This window comes from Homo sapiens, chromosome 14, assembly GCF_000001405.40.
Source record: "Homo sapiens chromosome 14, GRCh38.p14 Primary Assembly".
Classification (NCBI taxonomy): Eukaryota; Metazoa; Chordata; class Mammalia; order Primates; family Hominidae; genus Homo; species Homo sapiens.
In genome coordinates this window covers 101,404,311-101,417,130 of record NC_000014.9, presented here as the reverse complement: position 1 = coordinate 101,417,130, position 12,820 = coordinate 101,404,311, and the positions used below count along the sequence as shown (strand labels likewise).

The window sequence follows — 12,820 nt, the reverse complement described above, 5'->3', positions numbered from 1 at the left end:
TACATACCATTTCATCATATGTTTTATGTTACTTAGCTATTTTCTCATTGTAAACTTATATAGTTTCTATATTTCTGCCAGCATCAGTTACTATTCCAGATGTTCAAACATCTTTAAACATAAACCTTTGATGACATATTTGACTACAGAAGGAACCCTCATAATCACTGTTTCCCTGCATTGTTTTGCTGGATTCGCTGACGTCTTCTATGCCTTCGGTAAATATGCCGCTTGCATCGGGAAGCCTCAGTCTTCCTTCTCCCACTATTTGGAATATGGGCTTACCAAGAGTTAATTACCGTGTTTGTTCTCAAACCTGTTTATGACAGTTGTTGTGATGTCATTGGTTGGAATACTAACCTGTGAAATATGAGTGAGAAAAGAAAGAGGGTGGTTGCTTCCATATAAACTATAAAAACTAAGTAGAATGCTTTGGGGAGATGCAATAAAGTGAAGTAATAATACAGTTGCTATAAAACTAGATTATGAGCCAGGAAACTGAACAATTTGAGAAAATAAAATGGTAAAATGGAGAAAGTGTCTACTGTCACATTGTCCTCCAAATATTTAAGTTTGTGTTCCACTTTAAAGAAACCAAAACTCAAAATTAAGAGCATGAATTATATAGGCGTGTTTTGTGCAAGAAAGAGGGCACATAATTCCAATCAGAACATGAGTGATACTCAGAGAAGAGCCTTGGTCCTTTATTGCAAGACTGGTGAGAAAATTCATATTTTTATATTGTAACTTATAACAACGTATTTATGGTATATTTGCACCATTGTTTAAGATTTCCCTATTTAACTGGCTTTTCAATGAGCTGGGCAGATTCTCCAATTGCTGGTCCCAAAAGCATGAAAAAAGGATACTTTAATTGTGTTTCCTCAGGAGTCTTAGAAATGTAATTACTTTGTATAGTTTAGACTATTGTAGACTACTAATCCCTATTATCTAATTTCCCACTTTAATTGTATTTCCTCAGGAGAGATTCCTAGAAACATAATTACTGTGTATTGTTTAGACTATTGATACATATTATTTAATCTCATAGTAGTGAGGTTGTATCAATTTATGTTCTCACATAAATTAAGCTTTAAAGTTTGTGCATGAGCCACTAATGTCTTCTCTCCAGCTTCAACCAGCAGTTATACGGTAGACTGGGAGACTGGGTGACTCGGCCTGAAACTTCTTGAAAAATCTCTAAGGCTGTTCTTTGTTCCAATGAAATGGATTGGATTCCTTCTCTGTCGATACTGGACGTTTTTGTGTGAATTCTAGCCTCAGAATAAAATCCTAACCATAAAAACATAGAGATTGTTTACTAAACACAGCCCAAACTTCATCTATTGCTTTATAATATTCAGATGATCATAACTTTTATATGCTAGAAGGAACCATAGGGATCAGCTTAGTAAACCCTTTCTTTTATAATTTGAGTCCTGGAATGAGGCATAGAGAAAAGTGTTGTCTTCCATCCTGAAGCTTAGTGGCATCTCAGCGGAGCTCAGAGCTCAAGTCTCCGGACTGCTGTCTACTGACTCTTTTGTGTATATCATGTTGCTCTGGACGGCGAAGAGAAGCAATGCTAAAATGTACCACATGAAGTTCACATTTCCAAGGGGGGGCGGGCTGTGCAGAGTGTTGTCAGATAATGTCTATAATGTAAATCTACAATATGAGCTAACATTTAATGAATGCTTCAATGAGCCAGGTACTATTCTAAGTGCTTTACCTGGGTCAAATTACCTTATTATCCCATGTAAACCTCATAATGGCTCTCTGAGGCCCCATTTTATAGGTGAGGAAACTGGGCACTGAGAAGTTCCCATGGTTTTACAGCTAGTAGGTGGTGGAGTCAGGATTTGATTCTCACAGCCTCACTCTACAGCCTGGATTCTTACATGTCCTTTGAAATTGTCCCTCTATGTGTCGGGAGAATGAAAAGAAAATGACATTTATTTGCTGTCTACTTTGAGCCAGGCATTTTCAGATATTTTACATGCTTAAAAAGACGGATCCTCACAATCTCATTGCAGATGGGAGAAAGTAAATATCAGATACATTAAATGACTTGCCCAAGGACACAGCTAGGAGGTAGCAAAACAAGAAATTAACCCAAAACTTGACTAACTCTGAAGCCAGTGGTTTTGTGAGAAAACCACGCTGCTGCATCCTAGAGATCAGTGGTTCTCACGGTCTTGGCTGCACACTGGAATGACCCAGGGAGGGTTAAAAATACCCAGGTCTGAGTCTACCTCCAGAGTTTCTGATTTAATTGGGTTGGGGTGCAGCTTGGGCAGTGGGATTTAAAATTAAAAAAACCCCAGGAGATCCTAACATGCAGCCTAGGATGCCGCCCCTGCTAAAGATGCAGATGGTTTTGGTCATGCCACATGATTCCATTTCTTTGTCCAAATATGGGAATAGGGTTCAGCACATCAGTAAGGGGCATGTTTTCAGCAGCGGATTAGGTTCCGAGGGCTGCCGTGACAGATGACCACAAACTGGGAGCTGAACACGACAGAAATGGATATTGTCACAGTTCTGGAGACCAGAAGTCTGAAGTCAAGGCATCAGCAGGGCTGTGCTCCCTGAGGACGCCTCGACCCAGTTTCCGGCATTGCCAGCAAGCCTCAGTGCTCCTCAGCTTCACAGCTCTGGTCTTTGGCTCCACTAACACGCCACCTTCTTCCCTCTGTGCCTCTGTCTCCCTGTGTCTATCTCTTCTACTTATGGGGACTCCAGTCATTGGATTTGGGGTCTGACCTAACCCACTATAACCTCATCTGAACTAATTGCATCTGCAAAGACCCTATTGCCAGAGAAAGTCACATTCTGAGATTCCAGATAGACATGAATTTTGGGGTTACTATTCAACCCGGTGCAAACAGAAAATCAGGTAACATGACATTCTGGAAGAAGGCATGAGTCTCTAGGGATAGGGAAGATACAATTCTCTATCTTTTGGTACCATCCAATTTTTTAAAAAGATGTTTAAAATATCTTAAATATCCTCCTCCTCCCCTGAAAAAACAGCTATCTTGGTACACGTATCACTAAGTTATAGAAAGACCTGTATCTGCTGACCCCTTTGTTGTCTCCAGATCCCTTTGGTGTGTTGAGGAATGCAGGGATGCCACTGGGGGGTAGAAGGCATGGCTTGCTTGTTCAAATTGTACATGAGTGTGCACACTAAAGCTGTGGAAGAGGTCATTGTCCCCAGCGGGGAATTTTTGAAGGAAAAAAAAATCAGTTCTGATTCTCCTTCTACTGTAAGGTGACAGAAGAAATTTATAACTCTTTGTCAGTCATCAAAGAACTATCCACCATCGTTCCAAACATGGTTTGTAAGACCTTACGCCTTGAAGCAACCAAAATTTGGAATTTGGTTTTAAGACCATTATTTTATTCATTTGCTTTCTTTTTCTAAGATGGAACCTTGATCATAATTGAAAGTACAATCTTTGAAAAGCTAATGATATGGTTTGGCTGTGTCCCCACCTAAATCTCATCTTGAATTGTAGCTCCCATAATTCCCATATGTGGTGGCAGGGACCACGTGGGAGGTAATTAAATCATGAGGAGCGGGTCTTTCCTGTGCTGTTCTCGTGATAGTGAATAAGTCTCACAAGGTCTGACGGTTTTGCAAAGGGGAGTTCCCCTGCACAAACTCTCTTGCCTGCCGCCATGTGACACCTGACTTTGCTTCTCATTCACATTCTGCCATGATTATGAGGCCTCCCCAGCCACGTGGAAGTGTGAGTCCATTTAATGTCTTTCCTTTATAAGTTACTCAATCTCGGGTATGTCTTTATCAGCAGTGTGAGAACAGACTAATACACCTAACAAGCTGATTCCTCAAAGGACATTTATAGATCAAAATTCTACAGCCAGAAATGTACCCTTGTTTATTACTTGTCCCACAACTTGGAAATAATTAAATGCCTCCTACAAATAACACTACTGTTTCCTTACACACTGGCTTTCTGTAGAGAACACTAGCTACCCAATTATTTCCATCTCTAATTGATCTTGATAGTTAAGCTATGTTACATTTTGATAAGCTCCTAATTTTCATTTTAGAAATGACAGAAAGGATTTAGTTGTAAGAAATGGCTTATTTTCCTCAGAGGTTATCACTGGAATTTTCCCCACCTCGGCATCGCCACCGTGATCAAACGCTTTTCCACATCCTGCTTATTTGAGACACTTCTCTTGACCCTGGGCAGAGTGATATAGACAAATATGACTCATAGATTGGCAATTCACCTAAGGCAAACATTGTAATTGGTACAGAATCAGTGGACTAGTTTTGCTTTGTGTGTTTTTTCCCCAGTACACCAAGTGAGTCTTTATAAAGCCTCGATAGCAACATTTAGGCAATTTCTTAAGTAATAAATATCCATTTCTACTCGGAGAAAAATCTTGGCCTTTCTGTCTCAATTTAGCCTTCCTTAAAAAGGTTACATGTGGATCTAACTTGGATTCAGCCAAGTCCTTAGGCAAAAATTAAAGGATATTAAAAAATGTATTCCTCAAGAAGTGCCACAGAATCAAATCCTCAAAAGCTCACCAGATGATGTTATTGCAAACAAGTAGTCCACTAGATGTGTGAAACTACAAAAATACCAGGATGGGTTATGTGTTTCTGAACTGGTACCTGACAAGGACTTTGACAGCCATATGCACTGGGAAGACGGAGATGCTGTTGCCATGGAAGGCACGCCTGCTCTAGATACTGTCCAGCTTTTCAGTTAATGTGCATTGAGGGGAACCGCAAATCCCTAATAAGCCACAGCCTAGCATGGAGTTCCCAATTACCTGCCCACTAAAGAATGACCTTGTGCTTCTGTTGTAGAGCGTTCTCTTTTGGGGCCCCTGAAAGTCATGGGGCTGTTCATTCCATAGAGAAATAATTAGCCAATGCAATATGTCATTTTACATATCCATAACAAAGTGATTCTTGCAGCTTTTCATTTAGTGAGTTTATGAGAGGCTGATGTTAGTGAACTGAGAAGTAAAATATATTTATATGTGAAATACGACTTCTCCAATTCTTTGGCGGGGGAGCTGAACAAACCCCTGAGTGCACCCCAAGCACAGTGCAGCTGGAGAGCAGACGTTGCGCCCAGTTTGTTTGGATCTGGCTGATTCCAGCTCCATCAAGGTCATGTGCTGGTTGGGGGAAGTGGTGAATATTACAGTCCTGGCATCTGCAAAAACGGTTTTGATGAAGTCCTAGGATGAGCCTCGAAGGACATCGGTATAGCACGTGGCAGCTGATATGGCGAAGCTGCTGGGAAGGCCACCCGTCTTGGGCCTGAGCCTGCAGAGACTCCAACCAGCTCCTGCTTGGAGAGTGCAGAGACTGGCCCCGAAAATGCCCATCTGCGTGAAAAGTCTGGCTGTTTCTCACTGACCATGATGACTAGCCTGCTGTGGGGGCTGGGCATTACTAGGTTAAACTGTGGCTGTTAAGCCTCGTGAGTGCTGATGAACACGCTGTTCTTCAAAGCGAGTGGTGGTAACATGTGGCAGGCAGGGGGACCCATGCCAAGAGCTGTGGTGCGTGGGCATTCACGCTGAGGCCCATGGTCTTCCTTTGCACCCTTGCTTGGTGGGAGGTTTAAGAAAGACTTACTGTGTTTGTTTTCTCGGTGACTCTTGGGGCTGGGGGCAAGAGGAGCAGGGTTTGAGCCTGCACTGGTTTGTCGAACGCCCCCGTCCAACACCCCATGGCAGAACCCCCATCAGGCTCGTATTGAATCCCAGACCCTCTCTCTGGTCCCTGCCCACGGTGAGCAGAAGGAGGGCAGCCTACTTCCCAAGTCAAACACTCCCCAGGACTGGGTTTCAGCACCTTGATAGAACAGGGCTTCCCATCCTTGGCTTTTGGTGACATCTTGGGGCGTCTTCGGTCAAGTCAAAGGAGCTTTCAAAATGAATTTTGACTTGCTTGTGAACATTCCTGAACTTTGAAAGAAGGATGCGTGTCCTAAAATCCAATGACTGTGTCAGGTGGGTGTGGAGATGAGTGAGGCATTTGTGGAGTGGTGCTTTGCTTACAGTTTCACTGGGCGCCACGTGAAATCGTGGGGTCAGCAGGAGCTTGGGTCAATCTTGGGTTTGACCCCTGGTTCTCTCACTGCTGGTAACTCTGGCAAGTTCTTTACATCTCTGCCCTTCAGTTTTTGAATCTATAGAGTAGGTGTCATAATACATTCCTGGAGAGTTGAGAGGGTTAAAATGTGATGCACACAGAAGGTTCCAGCACACAGTAGGTGCTTCAGAAATGGTACCTTTTTCCACTGTTATTATTAGCAAAATATCAACCTCCCTCAATGCTTGTCCTTATTCAGTCTAAAACATCCTGCACAGATTCTGAAAATACTCTCTGGTATAGGCAGATAATTGGAGAAGAATGGGGCCCCCTGAACAAAGAGGAAACAGACCCACAGAAATAAATTCCCACAACTTGTCTGCATGAACAATAGAGAAGTCTTTCAAGATCTTCCCAGTTCCCTTCAACTTTATAAGGAGGATGCTTGTCCCCCAGGGAGCCGGTGGCCCTTTTGAGAAGAAAGCCACAGACAGAAACTTAAGTGGATTTAAATGTAAGCAGGACCAGAAAGAAAACAGAATTTCCTCTTCAAGGCTTAGGAAAACAATTAGAGATAAACGAGGCCAGAAAGCAAAGCTAATAACAAGATGAAGACTTTCAGCCACTTCATGAATGCTATTGAAAGGGGAAGCAAGAGAAACCCCACCCGAGTCACCCTGACCTTGCCGTAGACTTTCTGGTTTCTTGTAACTCCTACCCTTGCCTCCTGGGGGCTTTTCAACTTAGCTGCTCCATGGAAATGTTTGTTCTGCTGCTGAGCAGAAGATGCTACCTCTGGAGGCCACAGTGGGCTGGGGACAGACCCTTTCATCTCTCTGCGACTCTCCTGCTATGGCTCAGGCTGGGGCTCCTCCGGGACTTTCACTAACAGGACTTGGAAGTGGGAAATTTGCTCCTCTTTAAGAAGAAAGGGTGCATGATGTTTGTCCTCAGTAGCAGAGATATCACTTTTCTTCTTCTTTTTTTTGAGACAGGGGCTTGCTCTGTCACTCAGGCTGGAGTGCAGTGGTATGATTTCGGCTCACTGCAGTCTCAACCTCCCAGGCTCAAGCGATCCTTCCACCCCAGCCCCCAGAGTAGCTGGGACTACAGGCGCACCCCACCACACCCGGCTAACCTTTTTATCTTTTGTAGAGATGAGGTCTTGCTACATTGCCCAGGCTGAGATCAGTTTTGACTCCTGATGGGACACAGGAGAAGAAACATTCTGGTGCCTGCCATAACAGATTGATGTCTACCTAAGCATCATGGTTTCTGTCTCCTGGAGCTCGTAGGGAAAGAAGAGGGATGGCTGAGAGCAGGTGGCTTTCTCTCAGGGGAGGGCCTCTGCTCTGGGTGGCTGTTCTCGGCTGGGTTTAGACCCTCTTCCTCTGGGCTTGCGTTGTCCTTGACTAGGCTTTCCTGACTATGGCATGGGCAAGTGCAGGCCACACCGTGTCATTTTTGGTTTAAGTCATCTGAGTGTGAGCACCCTTGAAGATAGGGCCACGTTTCAAGTTTGAGGCACAGATCCTGGCTCCGCGTTGATGCTTGATTACATTTCCTGACTGGACCATGGAGGAATCTGGCCTCTCATTCCTGGGGATGGGAAAGTGCCCTTCGGATCTTCCGAGGAGTCTGAGAAGCAAAGGCAAAAGCTGGTTTCTCACCATATTCTTTTCTTGCCGTGTCAGCGTTTGCAGCTGTGGCTTTTATGGCCACGCCAGGAGGGGCCTCGTGAGGCTGGCAGAGGCCCTGGTGCCGTGGCCAGCCCCATGCTGTTAAGCAAAGCATGGCCTGTCCACGCTTTGGTGCCTGCACACCGTCCGTCCCGTGGATCTCGGCTCGTGGTGTACCGAGCTGACCCTGTCTTCGGATTCCATTGCCACTTGACTGTGGAGGTGGTGACTCTGACAGTTCTTCAGCTCAATGACCATTTGTTGTGCAAAAGTGACCCCCGGGATCCTCCACTCATCCTGAGGATGACAAAGCATGTTTTAAATAACCACTGCCAAATCAACTCAACACAATAGGGCAACCAAGACACAGCAAACAAGTCATAAAACAATTTAGCAAGGAGGCCAGCAGGAAAATTAATGTCAGTGGCTGTCTGTTCTGAACGTCTCGCACCGCTCCATGCTTCAGAGAAGGGAGAAAGCAGAACATCACAGTTCGCCAATCCAAGGCAGCCTGGTAGGACCTGCCATTCCGTGACCCCTAACCAATGGATATATTCATTACACCGAAGACTGGAAGGAACCACAAAATGGGATACATATTTAAGGAACTATGCACACAACTGGGTTTATTTTTCTTATCTGATTTTTTTTGTTTCTGGTGCAACATGAGTACTGTTGAATACTTGGCAGCTGGCTTTCCATACTTGAGTTGTTTGTCATTTCTGGGGCTGCTGATGCTGTTATGATTTCCCTTTCGGGAGGAATTTACAGGCACATGTTGACCCAGCTGAATGGGAACAGGGAGCAACAGGGAGTTTATGAACAGGGACCATCACCTCCTGGAGAGCGCGCATTCTTTTTCTGGAGGACGCACCAGCACAAGCTGCTCGCCATGCTGTCAGGCCGGCCATCGAATGCGCTGCTGCTCCAGCCTCCAACACGCAGATCCTCTCCCCTCCTGGCCTTGAAATAAACCTGCCTTTCTTTTCAATAATATCTGGGAGTTGTAGTCGGAGCGCTGTGCTTTATTGTTGGAATACCAGGGACGTTGGCTTTCGGTAGCAACAGTTGCTAGGCAAGGTGCGATTGCCTTGAGAACCCAGCAGAGAGAGGACGGAGGTGAACGGCAAAAGGGTCAGGTGGGAGACAGGCAGATGAGGCTGGCGCAGGGGCTGGGGTGAAGTGTGTGAGGGAGCCCCTGGCCGCTGCTCACCTGCCCTGCCACTGTGTTCTCCTCTCAGCAGCCTGTCTTTCCAACATCCACTCCTGCCTCCTCTCTCCCAAGACCCAGTCCATCTCATTCCCACACAGCCACTCATGGACTCATTTGCTACCTTTTTCAGATGTCTCCAACCTGCCATGGGCTGGGGGTACAGAGAGAAATTGGTGATGGGGTCTGCCTCCCGTGGGAGAGGCAGATACCACAGTCGCAAACCCACTGTGTGCCTGGCGCCCTTGCGGTCATCCCAGATTTTTGCCCACATCCCTCTGTTCCACCCAGAGGCCACCTGCATGCAGGCATGGTGGATGGTTGCTGTGTGCAGTGATGGCCTCCTGGGACCTCTTGCTGGCCACGGAGTTAACCAGGAGGGACCATCAACCTCGGAAGGTTAGGAGCTGTTGGGACAGTTCCGAGCTACATTCCAGGCAGTCTCAGGGATGAGTTCCTGTGTCCCACAGTTGAATGTGCTCCAGGATGAGTCTGTGATTGTCCTTCTTGCCCTCCCTGTCTTGTTCTCCCACATCCTTATGGGCTTCCCGGGCCATCCCCTAAGTATGCGACTTGCAGGTTTGCTTTTGCACAAACCGAGGCAGCAAGTATGCCAGGAAGCTGCCGTGAGCGTGGGGGCAGGCAGCCTGCCTTGCCTGGAGAAGGCGGCTGGCAGAGCCTCTGCAGAGGGTGTGTTTGGTTTGTTTCTAGAAGGGTAATCTCTCCAGGGTGAGAAGGGTGTCCTCCAGGCAGGAAAGAGTGTGGTTTTCAGGAAAACAAGGGTAGGTACATAGGGCAGGGCTCCGTTGGGGCAACACTGGAGAGGCTGGCCAGGGCAGTCAGTGAGGGGCCTGGGCTCCTACATGGAGCCTTTGGAACTCTTTTTTGCTGAAGGTGGGGATCCTTGTGGGTTTACCAGTAAGAGAGGCCCAAGCAGATTGGAGTTTGGGCAAGATTCCCGAGGCAGCAGGCGTGGGGTGCCGGGAAGGCAGGCTGGAGGCCTGGGAGGAGGAGCCGAGCCAGGGGAGGGCAGGTGAGCAAGGAAAGGGACCAGGGAGGAGCGAGAGTGCCAGCAGCTCTTAGAGACCAGGGCACAGGTGGCAGCCACCCAGGTGTCCATGGAGTAATGGACAAACAACCAGAGGATTCTACTTTAAACTGGAAGGAAACCCTGACACGCGCTACAGTACCAGTGAACCTTGAGGCCATTGTGCTGAATGAAATCACCTCTACCCAAAAGGGCTCATTCTGCAGGACTCCACTCTAGACACCCTGAGCAGTCAAATTCATAGACAGAAAGCAGGATGGTGGTGGCCAGGAGCTGGGGGAGGGGAGAAGGGGGGGTTTCTATTGAATGGGGGCTCTGGAGATGGGTGGTGGGGATGGTTGCACAATGGTGTGAATGTACTTGATGCCACTGGAGTATACATGAAAACATGGTTAAAATGGTAAATGTCATGTTTTATAGATGATACCTAAATAGTAATAATTCTAAAAATACTTAGTGGCTGAGTGTGGGGGGGTTAGGGAGAAAGAGAGGAAAGGAGAAGGCAGCACCCCCTCGGAGAAGTCAGACACACAGGCCCAGAGCCCAGCACCCAAGCCCGAGTCCTGGCTTCCTGATCTCTAGCAAACCCCTCAGCTTCCCAGGGCCTCTGTGTTCTCACCTGTGAAAGGGACCATCAGCAGGCCCTACCTCGCTGAGCCGCTCTGAGGAGTAAATGACGTGTTACTGTGGAGAAGCTAGGATGGCATATGGTGGCTAGTAGGATGATTGCTTTGGTGCTCTCTTGTATTGATACATAATATTTTACAGGGTAAAATTTTAAGGGGTACATGTGGGGTTCCATGCACAGAAAGTGTCATGATCAAATCGGGGTGTTTGGGGTGTCCGTGGCCAACTCCTTTCTCCAGCAGGCCCAGCTCCATGATGATGCCTCTCTCCAGAGACCTCCTGACCTCCTGACCTGCACAGCCCGGGAGACCACAGCCCACAGCCGCTGCCCCAGGTGTCCACAAGCATCTCAGCCCCTCCACAGCCCACGCATCTCCTCTTTCATTGGCTCATGGGGAGTGAAGGACAATGTCTGAATTAAATGCCGTGCTTTAAACTGAAAGGGAAACTTAGCAAATAAATGAGAGTAACAACACTAGATCATTGGCCAGTGTGGTTGCAATTCTTCCTTTCCCTCCAGATTTCTGTTTAACCTTTAAATCTCATTTCGGCATGCCTCTTGGTCCTCCTTGGATTGATATTAAGTTGTACACAGGCTACTTCTTGTAAGACGATGAGAACTCTTGCCGATATTTTACAACGTCTTACTCTGAACTTTCCCCTATTCTTTCTGCCTAGATGCATTATTTTCAGGAAATCTATGTTGTAAGACAGAGGTAGGCAAACCAGGGTTGCGGGCCAAGTCCTTCCCACAGCCTGTTTTTGTAAATAAAGTTTTATTGGAATGCAGCCAAGCTTGTTCATTTACACATCATCTATGGCTGCTTCTGTCCTGCCATAGCACTGTTGAGTAGTTGCGACAGAGACCACGTGACCTGCAAAGCCCAAAATATTTACTATCTGACCCATTACAGAAAACGTTGCCAATATCCTGTCGTAAGATATGCTGAAATGTTTAATTCTTTGAGGACTGGGGCACAAAATTATGTATTTTTTTAATCCACCATGCTAAAAGAAGGAAAATTCATTTACTGTAATATGTCCTGTAACGGTCGTGAAGTAATCTCATGAAACTGTGTCCCAGGGCGAATACTAGTATTTTAATGAGTACCTATCAGCAGATTAATGAAATCTGGGAGAGGATGTGAAAAGAAGACAGTGACACATTCCATCACGTTTCTCTGGATCTCACATCTGGGATACAGGCCAGCATGTGAGGTAATCAGATTGAAAGACATCTGGCAATTTTATCTGCATCCTTAAAAGTTTATATGCATACATTTTGGGGGAGGGATCTTTCTGTTTGGGAATTCTTCCTAAATTCAGACATCTTGGTATCAACAATTGTATATATTTTTGCATGTTCCAGTCTAATTCTATGCAAAATGACAGCAGGAATCTGGGACATCATGATGGACAAAAGGACTCGGATCTGGGCAGAGTCCCCATGTGCACGCCGCTTCTATCGGGCACTCCAGGGTCCGAGAGGATTCCCCTAGAGCTGCACGACTCCCTGGTGTTATCTGTTCAAAGTTCACCCACCATTTCTGATCAATTAGACCAGGGTTTCTCAACAGGGACCCTACTGACATTGGGGGCCAGATCATTCTTTGTGGTGGGACTGCCCTGTGGCTCAAACGCTGCCTCTTCCCACCACCTCCCCACTATTCTGATAACCTCCACCATCTCCACACATTGTGAGATGTCCCCTAGAGGGCAAAATCACCCCCAGGTTGGAACCTCAGAGTTAGTTCAGGTGAGGTAGGAGGCGGGACTCAACTCTGGAGGCAGGGCTCAGACACTGGACCTAACTGAGGACTAATGATTAAAACAGGTAGGGGGCAGGGAGGAGCAACGTGAGTGCTGCTCTCCTGCCAAGGGCTTTCACGGAGCCTCTGGTGCCTGGCGCTGCCCTGAGGAGCCAGAAGCTCTCTGAGTCTGAGTGGTGACATCTTGCAGCAGACTCTTAATGGTTTTGGATCCTCCATTTTGCCCAGGGAGGAGATGCTTCCTTCCTGGTTGTCTTTGATCAAAAATGCTGGTGAAAGAACAAGCATCTCTTTGGTTCAAAAGAGGTATGAATTATTTCAGTGATGAAGAAAGCCCAATAAACACATACAAATATCTAAAATATTGGTATTTTAAATTGGAGAAAC

General features: G+C 46.3%; 1 long non-coding RNA gene across 1 annotated transcript, besides 4 other annotated features; it reads left to right on the top strand.

Moving 5' to 3' along the window:
* Positions 4,065 to 4,359: an enhancer, noted in NCBI's record as "tiled region #3007; HepG2 Activating DNase matched - State 8:EnhW". NCBI's record gives its function as "activates a minimal TATA promoter and a strong SV40 promoter by Sharpr-MPRA in HepG2 cells {active_cell/tissue: HepG2}" and the evidence as "EXISTENCE:reporter gene assay evidence [ECO:0000049][PMID:27701403]".
* Positions 7,422 to 8,143: an enhancer, noted in NCBI's record as "H3K4me1 hESC enhancer chr14:101875325-101876046 (GRCh37/hg19 assembly coordinates)". NCBI's record gives its function as "activates a minimal SCP1, AML or CMV promoter by ChIP-STARR-seq in naive H9 embryonic stem cells {active_cell/tissue: H9 hESC(naive)}" and the evidence as "EXISTENCE:reporter gene assay evidence [ECO:0000049][PMID:30033119]".
* Positions 8,144 to 8,867: an enhancer, noted in NCBI's record as "H3K4me1 hESC enhancer chr14:101874601-101875324 (GRCh37/hg19 assembly coordinates)". NCBI's record gives its function as "activates a minimal SCP1, AML or CMV promoter by ChIP-STARR-seq in naive H9 embryonic stem cells {active_cell/tissue: H9 hESC(naive)}" and the evidence as "EXISTENCE:reporter gene assay evidence [ECO:0000049][PMID:30033119]".
* Positions 8,868 to 9,589: an enhancer, noted in NCBI's record as "H3K4me1 hESC enhancer chr14:101873879-101874600 (GRCh37/hg19 assembly coordinates)". NCBI's record gives its function as "activates a minimal SCP1, AML or CMV promoter by ChIP-STARR-seq in naive H9 embryonic stem cells {active_cell/tissue: H9 hESC(naive)}" and the evidence as "EXISTENCE:reporter gene assay evidence [ECO:0000049][PMID:30033119]".
* Positions 9,209 to 11,144, top strand: LINC00524 (long intergenic non-protein coding RNA 524). Its single transcript, NR_126006.1, has 2 exons — positions 9,209 to 9,388; positions 10,907 to 11,144. It is a non-coding gene; the product is annotated as a long intergenic non-protein coding RNA 524 (long non-coding RNA).
* Positions 11,145 to 12,820: the final 1,676 nt, after the last annotated feature.